This window comes from Homo sapiens, chromosome 12 (genome assembly GCF_000001405.40).
Source record: "Homo sapiens chromosome 12, GRCh38.p14 Primary Assembly".
Taxonomy (NCBI): domain Eukaryota; kingdom Metazoa; phylum Chordata; class Mammalia; order Primates; family Hominidae; genus Homo; species Homo sapiens.
Window position 1 is genome coordinate 45,287,018 of NC_000012.12, and position 20,888 is coordinate 45,307,905.

General features: G+C 38.2%; 1 protein-coding gene across 6 annotated transcripts in view; it reads left to right on the plus strand.

Moving 5' to 3' along the window:
- The window catches only part of ANO6 (anoctamin 6), a 224,310-nt gene that overhangs the window by 70,923 nt on the left and 132,499 nt on the right, over positions 1-20,888 (plus strand). For 3 of the 6 annotated variants that reach the window (NM_001142679.2, NM_001204803.2, NM_001025356.3), the window contains one exon: positions 14,997-15,076. The exons of 1 other annotated variant lie outside the window; for it this stretch is intronic. In NM_001142679.2, coding sequence (NP_001136151.1) covers positions 14,997-15,076 — 80 coding nt within the window. Of the gene's footprint in view, positions 1-5,672; positions 5,939-14,996; positions 15,077-20,888 lie in introns of those variants that run through there. 2 more of the 6 variants (NM_001410973.1, NM_001142678.2) reach the window with 2 other exon arrangements.

Below are 20,888 nucleotides of genomic sequence, written 5' to 3' on the forward strand. Positions count from 1 at the left end.
CCCAGGAACTATCCTAGGTGGTTGGGATTCAGCCATGAACAAGGTGAGATCTCTACTCTTATGGAACTTACATACTTTATGCGTAATTACTAATTAAGTGCTAAAGGAAAGTACAGCAGGGCAAGCTAACAGAATGATGGCTCTTCTCTAGGGCTGCTTAAATTAGAATTTCAGGGACAACCTCTCTGAGACAGGGATATTGAACAGAGAGCTGAATAATGTGAGAGAGAATGCTACCTAAGGCCGAGTGCGCAGTGTAATATAGTGGTTAAAAGCATAACCTGTGAGCTCCGGGGTTCACATTTTGATTCCACTGCTCACTAGCTGTGTGATCTTATGCAAAATACCTAACTTCTCCATGCCTCTTCATCAGTGATATGAAGGTAACTGTTGTACTTTTCTTACCTTGCAGAACTGCTGTGAGAATGTAATGCGTTCATATATGAAAAGGACTTAGCTATAGAATAGGCACTGGAATCTATTGCACGCTCTTAAGTGTGAGCTGTATTATCCATAGAAGCCCTGTGGGAATGGTGAAAAGTAGCTGGCTCCTGGGTAGGTTTTGAAAATTTGGCGGACAGGATTTACTGAGAAATTGGATGTAGGAGAATAAGGAAAAGGAGTCAGGGATGACGTCAGTAATTTTGGTCTGGTTAATTTGGTGAATTTTGGGGCATTTACTGAAGTGGGAAAGGCAAGGTATAGCAAACCTCTTTTGAAGGGAAGACACAGTGGAGGGTAGATATGCTAAAACTGGGATGCTTCTTGATGTGTTGGTCTTCTGTTCATTGTGGAAAATTTGGAAAACGTCAAGTATTAAAATATTAAAGATCACCTGACATCCCACTACTCCTTATCCTTTTGCTTACATTTTTTTAACCCCATATAAGTCTTAGATCATATAAAACATAACAATTTTTAAAATTATATACCCTTTAGTTTATTGGAAAATGGCTTATGGCAAGGGGGAGAGTTAAAGTAGAGGTAAGATGATAAAAGCCCCAGCACCACGAGAGTCCCCTCCACCCGTCAGATGGTCGTTATGGACTGAAGCCTCAGAAGAGCTCTCCCTAAAGGACAGCAGAGCATGTAGTAGGTCTCATTCCTGCTCACCCATCTAGGTGTTAGAAAGCACCTACTGCCTGGTACAGCCTAGCCTACAACAGCTAAAGGATTATTTTTTTAAAGCTACACTTTTTTGTGTGTGGTGGTGCAATACACATAATCTAAAACTTACCATTTTAACCATTAAGTGTATAGTTCAGCACTTAAAAGCATTAAGTACATTCACATTGTTGTGCAACCATCACCACCATCCATCTCCAGAATCATTTTCATCTTGAAAAAGGTTGTTACTGAAACTACCAATTAAACAATAACTCCCCATTCCCCCTTCTCCTGGCAACCTCCATTCTACTTTCTGTCTCTGTGAATATGACTATTCTAAGTACTTCATATATGTGGAATCCTACATTCTTTGTCCTTTTGTGACTGGTTTATGTTGCTTAGCCTGATGTCCTCAAGATTAATCTATGTTGTAGTATATGTTTGAATTTTCTTCCTTTTTAAAGCTGAATAATACTCCATTATGTTTTATTACCCATTTCATCAGTCAGTGGACACTTGAATTGCTATTGTAAATGTTGCTATGAACATGGATGTCCAAATATTTGTTAGAGCTCCTACTTCTAATTCTTTTGGGTATATATTATAATACATAACTTTTTTGTTTGTTTGTTTTGTTTTGTTTGACGGAGTCTCACTCTGTCGCCCAGGCTGGAGTGCAGTGGCACTATCGCAGCTCACTGCAAGCTCCACCTCCTGGGTTCAAGCCATCCTCCTGCCTCAGCCTCCCGAGTAGCTGGGACTACAGGCGCCTGCCACCACGCCCGGCTAATTTTTGTATTTTTTTTTTAGTAGAGACAGGGTTTCACCGTGTTAGCCAGTAATATATAACATTTTATAATCTACTTTTTCACATAGAGATATATTGCTGAAATTTTCTGTCATGAATATTCTATAAATTATTTTAAATAATTGCATTATATACAGTCATATAGCTGTACCCTAATTGATTTAAGCAATCAAGTATTTCCTAGTAGAATTATAAGATCAAAGGGTATGAATTATTTTTATTTTATTATTATTATTACTTTTTTTTTTTTTTTGGACATGGTCTGACTCTGTTTCCCAGGCTCAAGTGCAGGGGTGCAATCTCAGCTCACTGCAACCTCCACCTCCCAGATTCAAGCTATTCTCCTGCCTCACCTTCCTGAGTAGCTCGGATTACAGGTGCCTGCCACCACACCTGGCTAATTTTTGTATTTTTTCAGTAGAGATGGGGTTTCACCATTTTGGTCAGGCTGATCTTGACCTCAGGTGATCCACCCGCCTTGGCCTCCCAAAGTACTGGGATTACAGGTGTGAGCCACTGTGCCCAGCCGGGTGTGAATAATTTTAAAGCTTTTGCTATACTCACCAAATTGCTACCCAAAAAGCTTATACCACCCCACACTGCCAGTGTGTTTATTCCCAGCATCTTTGCTAATATTAGATATTAATGACTATTTTCTGTTCATTTGGATAATTAAAAGTAGTATATCAATTCTGATTTTCCTTTTATCCAAATTTAGGATTTACTTTCTGAGTTAGAGTTTATTTGTAGCTGATTACTGGGGGAAATACTAATTTGGTAAATACTCAATTTGTGAGATGATTAGAGGAAATGAGACCCTATGGGGTCTTTCCCTTTTCCAGTCAATTAGTTTTTCATTTGAAGGTAATTGGCCAACCTTTTGCTCTGTGTGTATATGACAAGCAGCTGTACTGAGGTTTTGTGTAATCTGTTATTGGGTGCTGAATATATTCGTAGTTATTACAGGCTCACAATTCCTTAGAATTCAAACATCCATAAAGTGCTGAAAAAAATTTTTTTGGTAATTCCTTTGGTTATAAAACCTGACAGAGCTGAACTCATTTGATGTAGATATCTGACCTCAACCAACACAAGACCATTTACATTTTTCATTATCCTCCCCCTCAAATGAATATTTATATTATCTGGCTGCAAAATATGAATGTGTTTGGGTAAGGCATGCTGTTCCAGACTTCACTGGGGGTGCATTAGTAATAGAGACAATATATACATGTAAAATTTTTTTTTTTTTAATTCTGAAAAATTCTGAATTCTGAAACACTAGGTTTTGGCATCACAGGTTTTGGATAAGGTCATGTGAACCTATAGCGGCTTTTTTTTTCCTTTCATTTTTATGTTCTCATTCCTTCTAGGCAGCAAAAACTGGTTTTGAAATCAGGCCTACTCTGATAGGTTAAGCATGAAGTTATGACTCAAATGTACTTGGAGCTGAAAGACAATAGGAATTTAAAAGTGGTGTCTTCTTTCATCCCCAGGCCATGTGCAATCACTATAATCTGGGAACTGACAGGTCAGCGACTAGAACCAAGTTTCAGCTAAGCCACAACCAGTTGCAAACCCAGGATAATGTTGAACTGAGAGCCTGAGGGTCTTAGGAGACCTGAACCAGTTAGACTGTGAAGCAATAGTAGTAGTGTTCCAAGATGTTATTGGAACATATTTCTACAATTAATACTGTTTGCCATTTATAGAATATCAGCTGTCTAAACCAGGCTTTTAAAATACCAAATTGGCAAAATTAAATAATATTACTCTTCAGCTATCTATTTTTAATGGTAAATCTAAGTTTTTAAAAGTCTGTTTATTAAATGCTAAAAGTTGCAGAAATGAAAAAGCAGATCCACAATTTCATATGAGATGGCAAGTTGTCCAAATACCAAAACAATTCTGAAAAAGAATAAAGTCAGAGGATTCATGGGTTCTGATTTCAAAACTTAATGACAAAGCTACAGTGATCAAAATAGTGTGGTCTTGGGTACAGATAGATATATAGACTAATGGAATAGAATCAAGAGTCCAGAAATAAACCCACATGTCAATGGCCCAACTGGTTTTTGAAAAGCGTGCCAGATACACTCAATGAGGAAAGAAGAGTCTCTTCAACAAATGGTGCTGCAGCAACTGGATTTCCACATGCGAAAAGAGCAACGTTCAATCCCACCTCACATCACAGACAAAAATTAACTCAAAATGGATTAACCCACGTGCAAGAGCTAAATTCATGAAGAAAACATAAGGGAATAACTGTTGGGCATGGTGGTGCATGCCTGTAATCCCAGCTACTCAGGAGGTTGAGGCAGGAAAATCGCTTGAATCCAGGAGGCGGAGGTTGCGGTGAGCCAAGATCGCGCCATTGCACTCCAGCCTGGGCAACAAGAGTGAAACTCCGTCTCAAAAAAAAAAAAAAAAAAAAAAACACAAAGGAAAATCTTTATGACCTGGATTTGGCAGTAGATTCTTAGATATAACATCAAAAACATGAACAAAAAAAAAATTAAAAATAGATAACGGGACTTGAGAAAATTAAAAATTTTTGTGCATCAAGGGATATTAAAAAAGTGAAGGCAGCTTACAGAATGGGAGAAATATTTGGAAATCATGTATCTGATAAGTCTTTAATATCCAGAATATATAAATAACTCCTGAACACAGCAAAAAGACAGACTCAGTTGGAAAATAGGCAAAGGACTTGAGCATTTTTGATGTTTTTCCAAAAGAATATGTACAGATATCTAATAGCACAGGAGGGAATGCTCAACATCATTCACCATTAGGGAAGTGAAAATCAAAACCACAATACCACTTTACACCTACCGGGATGGCTACTATTTTTTTTTTTAATCAAATAAGAGCACACAAAATAGTAAGTGTTGGTGAGTATGTAGAGAAATTAGAACCCTCATACATTGCTGATGGGACTGTAAAATGGTGCAGGCATTGTGAAAACAATTTGGCAATTCCTTAAAAAGCAAACATAATTATCGTACGATCCACAGTTCCAAATCCTAGATATACACCCAAAAGAATTGAAAACAGGGACTCAGATACTTGTATAACAGTGCTCGTTGCAGCATTATTCACAATAGCCAAAAGGTGGAAACAACACCCGTGTCCATCCACAGATGAATGGGGTAAATACAGCGTAGTATATCTGTACAACGAAGTATTATTCTGTCATAGAAAGGAACAAAGTTCTGATATATGCTACAACTTGGATATAACTTGAAAACATTATACTAAGTGAAATAAGCCAGAAACAAAAGGACAAATATTGTATAACTCTATTTATATGAAATATATTAAATAGGCAAATTCATAGAGATAGAAAAAAGATTAGAGATAACTAGGGACTGGGGAAAAGGGGAAGGGGAAATGGGGAATTCGTGCTTAATGGTTAGAGTTTCTGGGGTGATCAGAAACATTTTGGAAATAGTGGTGATGGCTGTGCAACATTGTGAATGTAATTATTGCCACTGAATTATATATTTTAAATGGCTAAAGTGGCAAACTTTATGCTTATATATTACGTTACTGCAATAAATTTTTTTAAGATGGTAAGAGAACTAATGAATTCACAGTGAATCTGATAGGTTTGCAGTGTACATTGAGTTTTTCTATAAAAGCATTAGGTAATCCAGTTGTGTGTGAGAATCAGTAATGTGATAGTTGTTTCCAGCTCTTCCAAAGGACGCATGTTTAACTTCTAGATGTATTTTTAGAGCTGAACTGTTGGGGCAGAGGAGGCTTGTAGGAATAGGGGAAGAGTTCATAAGCAGAGCTGAAACAACACCAAACATGGAAATGTTACAAGGTGGAGAAATTGTGCTTACTGAAACTCTTCTCAGAAATATTGCTGTTTGTGGATGATAGAAATCTTCAGAGTTGTCACTTAAGGTAGAGGTAGGAGGGTAAGAAGCGTCAAGGACTCACCGAATTGTCCATTCCCCCTTTTGTTCTGCTGTGGAATGTTTTGTGCTGCTGGTAAGAACATGTTCCTATTTGGTGAGTTGCTGGAACAGTGAGCAGTGGGCAGAGTGCCGGGGAGGCTCCTTTTTTATAAATATTGTCCAAATATTTGATGAGTATTTGGTCTTGAAGGGACACTGTATTATTAGTCTGCTTTGTGTGTGTGTCACAGTATGGTGCAGTGCAATATGGTTCTGGAAATAGAAGCACTCTCTTATTATCTAAGCAATTACATTTTGAGGAATTGAAGAGCACTAGTAACTGTACTGGAGTGACAAATTTATAATTAATTTCATCATTTGTTTATTTTCTCATTTATTGAGCATCTATAATATGCAAGGTATTGTTTCAGGTTCTTGGAATATAGAGTTGAATAAGACAATGGCTTGCCCTCTAGGAGCTCATGGACTAGTGGAGAAGAAAAACAATGACCACACAGTTTTCTTGTGATAAGAAGGATCAACACCTATCTTTTCCCCAGATTTTATCTTCTATAGTGGTGGGTAGTTGTCAAAAAGTAACCATGTGATAATTTTGAATTCTGTTCAATGTGAGCTGCAAATTTTGCTTATAAAAATCACTCTTTAAAAAAAAAAACCTTTTTCCTATAACTGGATGTCCAACTGAAAAAAATACTGTATTATATTATATTTTATTTTTTTGAGACAGTCTCGCTCTGTTGCCAGGCTGGAGTGCAGTGGCATGATCTCAGCTCACTGCAAGCTCCGCCTCCCAGGTTCACACCATTCTCCTGCATCAGCCTCCTGAGTAGCTGGGACTACAGGTGCCTGCCACCATGCCTGGCTAATGTTTTTTTTTTTTTTTTTTTTTTTTTTTGTATTTTTAGTAGAGACAGGGTTTCACCGTGTTAGCCAGGATGGTCTCGATCTCCTGACCTCATGATCCACCCATCTCGGCCTCCCAAAGTGCTGGGATTACAAGCGTGAGCCACTGCGCCCGGCCAAAATACTGTATTTTAATAGCCAATAATGCAATGATTTTTTGGCTCCACCTATAATAATGTGGCAGGTTTTACTAGACATCCAAATTAGTGCTATAGGAGCATGAAGTGGAGGCAAGTAACTTAACCTGGCACATAAGCAGTGACATTGAAAGAAAAATTTGAAGAAAGAGTAACACAGGGGATATGGGAATGTGCATTCCAGGTAGGTAGAAAACACTTAAGATGAGGTTGAAAATAAGAAGGATATAATTTAGTGACTTACCAAAATATTGATAGTGAAGGAAAGAGAAAGGTCAAGAATGGCTCCCGCTTTTGGATTGGGGAATTGAACTGATGATAATACATTATTCAAGAAGGGTAGCACAGCAAAGGGGAACCTTTTGAGGAAAAGCATTTTTTACCAGAATGCGGAGAGAATATTTATTAATTTTCTAAATTGCCAAATGTATAGTACTGGACCCTGGCCATGAGTAAAAAATGTTCTTACCCTGACAAAGTTTACATCTTCATGAATAACTTTCTTTTTCCTTCTTTGTTTTAGAAGCAGTGGCTGAAGTGGTAATAATTGTAGAAATATCTTTGTTGAGAAGGGGGCCAGGTGCAGGGAGGGAGGGAAAGCTCCTGTCTTAAGATAGATGGGAAAGACAGAGAACTGTAATGAAAACTATCAATTTGAATTTGGAATTTGCATTCTAGAAATGATTAGAAGAGACTGCCACTTTTTTTGTTAATGTAAATAGTAAGTCATTGAGTTTACTTGCCAGTAACAGACTGGGTAAGAGACTGATCCATCCAGATTCAGACATTTCCTGATTGACATTTCTTTTCATTAGAAACAAGTAACCAACATTGCCCAGAACGTTGTAGTTATTCGAAAATGATTGCTGAATTAATGTTATCCCTTTCTATGCTTAAATTTATTTTAATATTTAAAAAGGAAATGAAGGACAGGGATTGTCAAGATAGAAGTCAGAAGGAAAAATTGGTGCCTAATGAGGCAAAGGATGATAAAACGTATTAAAAATTGAAGTGAAAAATTATGATAGCCAATATTTATATAGTACTTAAGAGTCTTCACGTCAGTTTCATATATATGTCAGCTTATTCTCCACAGTAACCTTCTGATGTAGGCATTATAATCTGCATTTTATTGATGAGGAAACAGACTAAGCGTTAAGTGAGGTGCCTGAGCCTCAGGGCTAAACCATGTAGCGCTCTTATGATTCAAGTCCATTGTCCTGTGTAGCAATACATAGCCATCATGCTCTTGAAAGCTACGCTTTTGGCTTTGTATTTTATGTTTTATTACTAACATTCTTTGCATTAATAATGACTGAGTGGCTCTATTTTAAAATCTCGTTGTAATATCACAAGGCCTATACTCTGCAAGCCTACAACCTCTTGCTAATATAGGAAGTAGAATTTCTCTCACCTCATTGTTCACCAAAATATGGCAAATCCTGTTAAACTGAGGCCAGAGAAAGAGATGTTGGAACCCCTTAGAACAATTATGACTACCAGAGAATGATGCAGGAGCAGCGGGGCGGGGATAGACTCAGCTGAAGTGATGTGGGGAGTGAGACTGGGCAGGCCCAGCAATCTGGAAAGCATGAAGCGACGGGAAATGGTGGGCCCTGTATGTGGCTGCTTTTACTCTCTTTTTTATTTGTTTATTTTGTTTTGTTTTTGAGACAGAGTCTTACTCGGTTGCCCAGGCTGGAGTGCAGGGGTACAGGGGCCCAATTTCGGCTCACTGCAACCTCTGCTTCCTGGGTCAAGCAATTCTCCTGCCTCAGCCTCCAGAGTAGCTAGCGTTACAGGCATGTACCACTATGGCTGGCTAATTTTTTAATTTTTAGTAGAGACGGGGTTTCACCACTTTAGCCAGGGTGGTCTCGAACTCCTTACCTCAAGTGATCCGTCCACCTGGCCTCCCAAAGTGCTGTGATTACAGGCGCTTTTTAAATTTTTTTATTTTTATTTTTATTTTTATTTTTGAAACAGAGTCTCTGTCACTCAGGAAGCTGGAGTGCAGTGGTGCGGTCTCAGCTCACTGCAACTTCAGCCTCCTGGTTCAAGTGATTCTTGTGCCTCAGCCTCCTGAGTAGCTGGGACTACAGGCATGCACCACTATGCCCAGCTAATTTTTGTATTTTTAGTAGAGATGGGGTTTCACTACATTGCCCAGGCTGGTCTTGAACTCCTGGTGTCAGGTGATCCAACCGTGTGGTTGCTTTTAAAATAATGACTGGTGAGTGCTGGCATTCAGGTCAAATATTAGATGTATGCTGAGATCCAGTTTTCAGAATGGAAAGAAGAGTTTCAGGTACAAGACAGCGTGGCAGATCTCTAGATATCGTGCCCAATCTGGATATGTGAACATGTCCTCATTCTCAAGGTGATATGGGCCATTCCTTTGACATTTCTTTAGTTGCGTACGTTGACTAGATCATAGAATTCCTGAGGTTAGATTCTGTACCCTCCTTATCTTGATATCTGTACTTACATCATCTAGCTCAATCCCTGGCACACGAATGTCTTTAACCACTTGCCAGAGTATTGTATCTGTTTACCCTGTGGAGCTTTCCCATTAGTTCTAATTGCGAATGCTATATAAATTTCACTACATTGTTTTTTTCTTTTTTTTCTTTTTTCCAAATTGTATTAGTCTGTTATATCTCTATCTGGCTATATTGAAGCAGTTATTTGCTGATTTTTAAAATTTATATACAATACTATTCTAATTTCTTCTAAACTTATATCTAACATCAGGAGTTCTTTGGATTATTCACAGCAGCTCAGGAGACAAATTAATGTATTTTAAAAGATGTGCAACTTTGGAATCAGGTTTAGATTCCCATTGTGTCACTTTGCTTGGTTAACTTCATGCAGCCAATAACCTTAATTATTCTTCATCTGTGAAAACGAGGGACAAAAATAGGATTAAATAAGATAAGACATTTAGAAGTACCAGGCACAAAATAGTAGGTACATTTCTGATTACGTGACTTCATATCATTGAGTCTGTTACATGAACTTAATTTGTATTTATATAGTGCTTTATTTTTTTTTAACAACATGCTTGTGAATTGTCATTTATATCTTTGCCCAACTTTGTGAGATAACCAGGGAAAGTAACGTTATCACTAGCATTAGATAAATAAACTTGAGAATAAGCATTGCCAAGGATCATGCAGCTAAGAAATTACAGAATCAGAACTTGAACCCAGTCAGTCCCCTCAGTCTATACCCAGTGCCCTTTGTGCCAGGCCTTGGTATACTTTTACTTGCTCTCTCTCTATATATTCACTATCTTTGATAATTTTAATGGCAACCAATCCCTGTAACAGATGAGTCATTGGACCCAACCACCTGCCATGCTAGTGCTAAGTTGGATAAATTGTTGATGCCTAATTCTGATTATCTTTATTCCTAGGGCACTACCTATTAGGTATTTGGGGTTTTAACCAAGAGTTTCCTGAGATCATTTTGTGTTTTCTCATAGATAATAGATTGTCTGAGTTATAAACTTGTAGACAATGGCTCTTTTTATTGGCCAGTTTATATAAGTCTCAAACAACTTTGCTGTATAGATTTTCTCTTTATTTTACAATTGGGACAATGGATGTTAGTTACTCCATTTCTAATTGGTAGACAAGTAATCATGTGAACTGCAGCTTTCTGTAGAGGCTTCCAGTGTTGCATTATTAATATGACTGGGCCTCTAGAAAATTCTTTTGGGCTGTTGATTTTGGACTATCAAATAAGTCAGAAGCAGTACCACCAAGGACTTTATTGCTTCAATTTCACTATACTAATTGCATTGATAAAAATTTTTAAAGTATGCTCTTTTATTTTTCACTGTGTTATATAATTAATTCTATTGAATTTAGGAAAGGTAGCTATTTAGTGGGTTTCTTTTGACCGAAATCATCAATTATTCAATGTTTACCTATAGTAATCCAATTGATAGTATTCTTACAGTACTCCATAAATCTGTCTAGTGTGGCACTTAGAAATGACACTAAAATTAACATTAATTATGTCTCTGGTTTCTTTCTTCAAGAAAACGGAACCTTGTCTGGTTCTTCTTGGCTTCCCTAGGGCCTTACCACACAGTGTGCAAAATATAAAGTAGATTTTGATGTTTGTTGAACCTGATTTTGAACTGCACTTTCATTGTGCATCCATGCGAAATCCCACTGACGTATCAAGACCAAGGTTTCTGTCATCATATTAGAATAACTATTTTTTGTTTTCTAGTCAGCCGTTTGATGAACAGATAACATAGAGGTCTCAAGTACTGTTGTTCCAAGTGCTGAAATTAAATGAACTAAACATGATGCCACTGAAGATAGTACTTTTGCTGTATAAGGCTGAGGCATAGTGACAGGACTAAAAATACATTTCAACATATTACGTTAAGAAAAACATGATTTATATAAGGAAAGAAATGAAATTAACATATTTGCCTTTTTAGAATTTTGTCTTGATTCTGCTCATTTTAATACAAACCCTCAGTCACCTTGATTTTGACTATTTTATTTTTGCTGAGAAATGAACTTTTTCAGTTGTGTTAGATTACCATAAATGAGAATATCAAACAGTAACTAGAGCCCCTCAGTAGTGGGGGTAGAATTATATTGGCCTCATAAATCATTTGCTTCCCAGCACTCTATCAGGTCATGAGAGCAAGAGCTGTGGCTTTGTTCTACCTAGATGATGTTTCAATAAAGCCATTTCTGTTTTTATTCACTCAGATTTACAGTTTTTTCTTTGTATTGACATTAACCAGTGAATCTATTAGTTTCCATTACCAGCAGACTAACTAAAACTATAAATAGTTCTAATTTCTTTCACAAATCCATTCAAGCTACATAGATACCGTTTATTGGATAGAACATCTGGGTAATCTTGTTTGTCCTGTCTTTAGGCAAAATGCATACTTTCTTAAGCTTGTCTTTTCATTTAGAAAAAAGAAAAAAATCAACTTTAGCAGCTCCGTCTGTTGACCTTAGATAACAGATAAATTGGGTATCTAATCATCTAGGAATCTAGATAAGATGCCAAGTCACTCCATCGGATTTATAATACTGGTGTAAAAAAAAAAACAAAAACCCCACAGTATTATGTTTCCTTGTTTGCTGGTTCTGCCAAAAACCAAAATATCATAAATACCATAGATATAATTTTTTTAACATCTGTCTTAATACTATAAAAAGATTAGGTCTTTTCTTCCAAATGTAAAGCAAGCTGCCCAGCACTAACTTAGAACACACTTATCATAGCCTCGCATATAAGCACATTTTAGCAAGTTTTAAAGATGGTCTGTAGGAGTGTAATTATCTTGGACAACTGTTGTACTGGAATAACCAGTTTAGTATGTTACAACTCTCTCAGTGTAACAGACTGTGTGGTGATTACTATAGCCCTCCAGGAGTTCTCAGAGGCAAGCACCTTAATTTTGGCAATGGTTGCAGCTCTTCAAGCCTTTGCTCATCTCATCTGTTTTCTGTTTCTGCTTTGGTTCACACATAGGGTGTCCTCTAATGAACTCAGTTTTTCAGAAGAGTTAGAATCACTTGATTGTACTGTCATTTCTACTGGCATTTCTTTTCAATTCATAAGTATACAAAGATGTGAGGTATTTTTTCCTCAGATTCTGTGTGAACCTAAAATTGAATCCAGGCCGGAAGCGGTGACTCACATCTGTAATCCCAGCACTTTGGGAGGCCGAGGCAGGCAGATCATGAGGTCAGGAGTTCAAGACCAGCCTGGCCAGTATGGTGAAAACGCTTCTCTACTAAAAATACAAAAAAAACTAGCCAGGTGTAGTGGCACGCCTGTAGTCCCAGCTACTTGGGAGGCTGAGGCAGGAGAATTGCTTGAACCCAGGAGGCAGAGGTTGCAGTGAGCCCAGATTGCGCTACTGCACTCCAGCCTGGGCAGTCAAGGAAGACTCCATCTCAAAAAAAAGAAAAAGAAAAAGAAAAAAAATTGAATCCAAATATTAGGAGATTTCTTAGTGAGGTGCCAAACCTAAGTATTTGGTAACTGAATTGGCTAAATTATTGGCTGATATTTTGGTTTTGTAAACAATCACATAGAGATCTCTTATGATTCTGCCCTATATGAATGTTGAGTTTTCTTCTTTTGGGTCACTGAATGTTTCTAGATCAATAGGAACCCAGCCTTCTCTTCTATAAAAGCTTTTAATGGATTAAGGGAAAACATAGTATGCATTTTTAAAAGTCACTACAAAGCCGAGATAAATCACACACAATAAAATTAAAGCATTATTTATTTCTTTCTTTTTGAGACAGAATCTTGCTCTGTCACCCAGGCTAGAGTGCAGCTGCATGATCACAGTCACTGTAGCCTCAACCTCCCAGGCTCAAGCAATCTTTCCACCTCAACCTCCTGAGTAGCTGGGAATACAGGTGCACACCATCACGCCCGGCTAATTAAAAAAGGTTTTTGTAAAGATGTCTAACCATGTTTCCCAGGCTGGTCTCAAACTCCTGGGCTTGTGCACTCCTCCCACCTTGGCCTCCAAAGTGCTAGGATTACAAGTGTGAGTTATCATGCCCAGCCAAAAATAATTTTTTATAGTTTTATACTTATTCCATACTCAAACTCTCCAGTTTTGAAAAATAAGTCCTTTATAACTGGTTTGTCCAAATTAGGATCCAGTTGAGGACCCTATATTGCTAGTGGTTATGTCCTTTAGGGCTCTTTAAATCTGATCTCCCTTTTTAATGTCATTGACTTGTTAAAGAGGCTGGACCTATTGATAAATGAGAATATTTATTTAAACTTACTTAAACATTAAATCTTTAAGCTTACTTAAATATTTAAGAATATCTCTTTACATTTATTCAGAACATTTTCTTACATAGCAAAAATTCTATTCAAATTTTTGCAAGTTAAAAATAAAAAAGTTCTTTGCATCTCATTTGTTTAAACCAGGATCCAATCCAGAACCACATGCTGCAAATGATTGTTTTGTTAACTTGGAACAATTCGTTTTATTCATGTCAGTAACTTGTTGACAAGATGAAACTATAGCGTCTTACAGAATGACCTACCTTCTTGATTTGGTTTCTCTATCCCTCTAACATGGCACTTGTCCAATATGGTAGCCACTAGTCACAAATGGCTATTGAGCTTTTGAAATGTGGCTAGTCTGAACTGAGATGCACTGTGAGTATAAAATATACACTGGATTGCTAAGACTTAACACAAAAGAGGTAAAATATTTCATAAATAGTTTTTACACTGATTACATGTTCAAATGATAATTAGGGTAGTATGGGTTAAATAAATTATGTTATTAAAATTAATTTCACCTGTTTCTTTTTTTTTAAAAACGTCTCTACTAGTAAATTCTATCTGGCTCCCATTATATTTCTATCAGATTTAAAATAGCCAGGCATGGTAGCTCATTCCTGTAATCTCAGCACGTTGGGAGGCTGAGACAGGAGAATCGCTTGAGGCTAGGAGTTTGAGACTGATTAGCCTGGGCAATATAGGGATACCCCTGTCTCTACAAAAGAAAAAAAAATGTTTTTTAATGTTTTTTAATTAGTCAGGCATGGTAATATACACCTGTGGTCTCAGCTACTTGGGAGACTGAGGTGGGAGGATCACTTGAGCCCAGGAGGTCGAGGCTGCAGTGAGCTGTGATCGTGCCACTGCACTCCAGCCTGGGTGACAGAGTGAGACCTTGTCTCAAAAAAAAAAAAAAAAGAAAAAGAAGATTGCTACCCACAAAGGGACTTCACAGCAGTACCCTGTAATAGAAAACAGAACATCAGTAAAGTGTTTCTTAGTTAGACTTTTGTAACATTTGCTTGCTGTGTACCAGTTAAATGATTTTCAGTGGTAGACCTTGCCTAGAGAATTTTAAGACCTAGTGTTCTACAACCCTGGCATCGTCTGGTAGATCCAATAGATGAAACAGCTGCTACATATTTTTTAATATATCTGATAGCTGAAAGGGTTAAATAATATAAACCTGTCAATGTGCTACCAATGTTAATAACCCGGTGCTGCTGATTTAAAAGTACAGAACTACGTGAGCCAGTGCAGGTTCATGCTTCATTTGTTTATATATTCATTCGTTTTTAGTGTTGGAAAACCTTGGACAGACAATTGTCCCCGATTTGGGATCACTGGAAAGTCAGCATGATTTTCGAACCCCGGAGTTTGTGAGTACTATTCCTTTATCTTAAATTTGTATTCTTAAGCTAAGAGATTTTTCACAAAATGAGAAAAAAGTTCTTTTATGAATTCATTCCTTCAATGGCTGTAGATCCTACATAGATCTTATTGCAGGGACTGTGCGTTCAGAGCTCTGGTGTCTCTTGGGAATAGGTTGCTGAACTTGATTGTGTAAGCATCATGGTCTATAGGTTTGTTCTTCATATTGTTCATGTAATTGCAAATGGGAGTTCACTTTGTAATAAAATAGCATCTTGTTTCTGAAACTCCTGTTCCATTCATTGATACCATTGCTGTCAGTATCTGTTGTTAGTAACTCTGGAAAGCAGTCTTTAAGCATATACAGGTATATTGACCAGTGCCAGTCACTGGTAGCGAACATAGTCTACTTTCCCTTTCATCCTGGAGCTTTCAGTGATACAACCTACATGTATCTTGTAGGGCTAGGAATATTCTGTTGGTTGTTTCTACCAGAAGGGAACTAAATGCTCCCATTAAATTGGACTCATTAAAGATTAGCCATGGTTCCTACCCTTAAGGAATTAAAAATCTTATTAGAAGCTACTATGATTTTATTAATGCCTTTTTTAAAGAAAATTAAGCACATAGGATGCCTTGTGCAAAATATCCTTAGTAAATAGATTTTTACATTAGGCTCATTTGGAGGGCGGGGATGGGAACAAGTGTTTCTGTGACTCATGTACCATATTATTGCACCAGATATGTAGGAAAAACATGCCAGGATCCACTTACATTTCCTGATTTTTGTCCCTGCTGCAAATGGCCTACCACTTTAGGAGTGCAGAAATGTTTTTTTATTTATTTTCAATGTGATATACAATCACCACTCCAGTAATTGGCAGAGCACAATTGTATTATTGGTAAAGACCAAAAAAACCTCATTATGTGCTTTTTCTGTTCTTGCTCACTCTTTATGGATTGCCTAGTCAATTCAACCAAGAGTAAAGAAACTAGAGAGTGCTCTGGACTGAAAAGGGATGGCACATAAAACTGTATCCACAATGCCATTTTATTTCAAAGTGTGGGACTCCTGTGGTGTACTAGCAGATTGCCTACTGTGAAAATCACCTGGATATAATAGAAAGACGTAGTATTCAATGACTTCCCTATTATATTCAATAAGATTTCTGGTAAAGGGAAATTGTGCATGCCCACCAATATTCCTGCATCTTAAAGTAGCAGAGCAATTTTGTGGGTTTTCTAACTTTTGCAGTTAGAGACCAAAAGCAGAATTGACACAGATATTTCACATTTGAGTATGATACTGGTAGACACTCATGAAGCTGCCTCTTTTTTTTGTTGTTTTATTTTTGGCTCCTTTTGTTGATACTTTTCAAGCAACATATCTAATCTAAAAAGAACTGTGTGCAACAAGGTGTTGGTGCGCCTGGTAAACCTATACATAGTTCGCACCAATTCCCTATGTGAAAATAAAAGTATTTTCCTCAAGAACAGCCTTGAGTGTATTGCGATGTTGCAGACTGGCAAGTCTCGGCAGTTTGTTGCCACAGATAAGGCAGATACACTGATAATCTTCCTCCACCTTCAGCATTAACTTCTTGAGTACCACATTTTCCTTTTCAAAGTGGAAGAAGACAGCTAGTCTAAGCTAGAATGCCCAGGGGTGGAACTCCGGGCTCACAGAATACATTTACCTTATTGAAAGACTTGTTTTCACAGTGAATCTGAGAACACCCAAGCTGGAAGGAGATTCTTGGGCTAAATCCCCACTTTTTTATTTTTCAGTCTCACGCTTACAGAATTATTGAGAGTCATATTGTTAGACTGCATTGATGGCATTGAAAACTGTTAATCACAATATCCCTGTATGTGTGGTTGATAACAGATTTCTGTATCCTGGCTATTATCTTTCTCTAGTTATGGGTTCATAACATGTTCGGGAGAGAATCTGGGATTTTCTTGTGCTTCGTAGATTTTCACACATCTGATGCTCATTAAGGTCACTTCTTTGTGTAACATGTAAATAGCTGCTGTGTTTTCTCCTTAGCATCAGCTTAGCCAGTGTACTCCCAGTTCCACAGTAAACATAAACTGCTGTCTCCATGGTAAACAAACAGAAGGTGTAGAAGTGGTGCCTTGAGAACAGGGTGCCCAGAGGAATCAAGCATTATATTTAAGCTCAGCTCTTTTTGTAGGCAGAAGCTTACAGCGTCAGTGAAAATGGGTGGCTCCCATTGTATAGGCAGGCAAATGCCAGGACAAAATCAGGTAAGTTGATTCAAGCCACATTTTAAAATCAGAAATGAGTGTCACAGTACAAACCTGAGAGCAGAAAGAACCCAAAGGCAAAGCAAAATTGAAGAAAGAAGACTGAAAAGAGGAATAAAAGGAGGTGAAAAATCAATATTCTGTTTTTCTCCATCTGGCATTTTGGAAGGTCCAACTGCAGTTTGTGGAGTTGAACCGAAATAAAGCAAAGCCTAGTTCATGTTTACTCGGGCCTTATCCTCAAATAGTTCAGATTTTAGAAGGATCAAGAGCCTAGTGTTTTTATACAATGGGGTGTATTTATAGAGTTTGGCTAACAGGGAAACTAAAATGCTTATCATTATTAGTTCATTTCCTTCAGAATTTCTGTTTTTCTTTCCTTTGAAACGAGACCTAAGAGAACATTGCCAGTTGAATAGTCTTGGCCGCTGGCATCATAAGCACATTCAAGTTTTCCTTCACAGCTGAGGTGTCTCTAATGTGACTAGTTAGGTAAAGCCAGCACTGCTGTATAGTGTGCATATATCACAGTGAAATAAATGCTGCTGTGAACCTCCCAAGTGGCCTGGAGACCACAGCCTACCTTGCTCTTGGCAGCATCCCCAGTGGCTTCTTCTCTCACTTGCTGCGGAGTTTGTCCATTGATTACATGTCACCTGCATATCTGTGTTGCTCTTCTCCAGCTCCTGCCCCACTTTGCAGACTGAGGCAGATAAGTTTAGCTAAACTATGCAAAAATGGTAAGTGGTGAATAGAGATGTGAACATAAGGTGCATGTGTTCTTGCTACCCCAAAGCTTAGGAGCTGGGAATGTGTTGAAACTAGAAACTGTGACATAGACACACTCCAAAGTAAGATGGGTGTGTGGGTAAGAGTCCAGGTGAAAGGGACCCGGCAAATACTGGCATTAGAAAGTAACTTGATGATCTTGCTGTGGTGGAAAACTGTCCCAATCCTGGTTCAGTTTTTTGTTTAAGCACAATGAAATCTGTTTTATAACTCGTTTCATTAACATTTTATCTTGAACGTTTTCCCACACTGTTTTGTTTTCTCCAACATTGTTATTGTCTCTGACATTATTTGTTGAATATATTGATAAGCATAACTAATCCATTGTTACTTTGAAAGCAGTTAGTTCAAGGAGGATGTAGTCAGGAAAATGGTGGCATAGCCAGATGTTCTGGAACTATGTGAATGGTGACTATCATTTGGGGACATGGATGAAAATAGATTAGGTGCATGATGACTCTGGGGAAGGGAATCAGTTAAAGTGAGGCTGGGAACTGAGGACCAGAGACTCAGATAACCTTGTAGAGTTCCGTCTTAAAAGTAGAGACTTCAGAAATAGGCCATGTGATTGAAACTGAGGATGGGGAGGCGTCCACATGGTGATGGAGCAGATAAATGTTGTTCTGCATGTGGTTGCATGCAGGATATCCCACACTTCCCTTAGTTTGCCCAATCCCAGGTCTGGTTAAGAGCAAAGGAGATCTAAGGGGCAGTCATGGCGGGCCCATTAGACCCCAGGTTGATTCCAAGCCCCAAGGAGTTGAAAAAAAAATAACTGGAGGTGCAGGGGGAGCAGTAATGGTCAAGGCTATTTCTAGAAACTCTGACTCTGTTGACATTGACCCAGGAACTCAGATGGGCCAGTTGCCTGAGTACACATGAGCTGAGGGATGGGGTGTGGGAAAGGATTCTGATCTAGCAGTAGTGAATCTGCTTGCAGCAAGCTGGAAGATACTGCCATGGATAGAAATCAGGCTGTGGTCAACATGAAAACACAAGGAAAGAGAAGGCCAAGGAATTACGTTTTATGATCTGAGACTGACATTTTCCAGCCTTTCTAGAACTCGAGGTTATATATAACCCTACTGACTTTTGAGAAGCTGGAAGATTCTTCTTGCCTCTGATCTCATGCCAACCGAGGATGTTTTTCATTGCTTAGTCTCTACGAAATTTGGAATAAATAATAAGAAAGAATTTGGGATGGCAAAAGAGTATTAGGTTTATAATAGGATAAATCAGGGAAGATGATGAGAAACCATAGGATTTAGAAAGGCTAAATAGAAAAATAGGCTCAGGAAGATGAAGATTAAAGGAGAACAAATATATGTCCCATTAATTAAGTGTCACAGATACACAGAGAAGGAAGTCTGAAGAGTAATTATCCCCCTGAGATTTTGTGTAACTGACTCCCTTTTTGAAGGAAGATACTACTTTATAGAAAAATATTTTTGATTCCCTGAAATTCAATTTTTGATTATCTTCAACCATATGAAAACACATGTGATCCCAAGGAAGAGTTAAAATATTAATTTACTAAAATATTCATTCGATATCTACTATTTTAGGTGAAGAAACAGGAAAAAAAAAATCCCTGCACTTGTGAAGCTAACATTTTGATGGGGGAGACATAAAACACAAACGTCAGATAATCCTGTAGAGAAAAAGTAGGGATTATTTGTGTGTATGTGTTGGGGGGGTGGTGACAGTTTTAAATAGGGTGTTTAGGGAATATCTCACTGAGAAGTTCCAAGTGAAAAAACCTCAAGGTGCTGCTGGAGCAAGTTCTTTGGAAATCTGGAGGAAGAGCATTCCCAGCAGAAGGAGTAGCATAAACAGGTTTCGAGGTAGGTGAGTTTGTTAGATACATTTAAGGAAATGGAAGACCACTGTGGCTGGAGTAGAATGAAAGATCGAGAGAATAATAGATATGAGGACTTCATAGGCCATTGTAAAGACTTTGGTTTTACTCTGAGTTGGGAAGTCATTTGAGGGTGAGCCTTTGGAGGGTAAACTGGCAGATTTTGAGCAGAGGAGCAACCTGAACTGCCCTGTTTTCATAGGATCCCTTGGGCTGTCCTGAGAATAGATTATGGAGGAGCAGAGCAGGGGCAGAGAGACCTATTAGACTTTCTCAGGAATCCAAATGAGAGATGGTGGTGGGTTGGTCCTGAGTGTTAGTTATGGTGATAGAGAGACATACTCAAATTCTGAATACATTCTGAGGGTAGAAGCAATAGAATTTGTTGACAGATCAAATGTGAGCTGTGCGAGAAAGAGCAGTCAAGGAATGACTCTAAGTTTTTGACCCAGAAGTCTGTGGAAGGAGCAGTTTGGGGAGAGGATATGCAGGAGAAAAATCAAAATTCTGTTTTGGATATGTAAAGTTTGAGACATTCAGGTGGAGAAGTCAGTATGCAGTGGGATATGTGAACCTGGAGTAAGAGTTAAAGAGGGGGGCCCAACCCCCGATGTGAGAGTTGTCAGCACACAGGTGATGTTTAAAGCCATGGGACGAAATGAGAGCAGCAAGGAAAGGAGTGAGATAGAATAGAGAGGAGATGCTGGACTGAGCCCGGGGGCACCAGTGTTTACAGGTCACGGAGATGAGGAAAAATCAGCAGGACAAGCTGAGCCAGGAGGAGCCAGTGAGGTGGGAGGAAAGTGAAGAGTCTTGGAAGCCAAGTGAAGAAAGTATAAAGTAGGAAGGAATGACCACATTCTGATGATGGAGAATTGACCATTGTATTTAACAATAGGGAA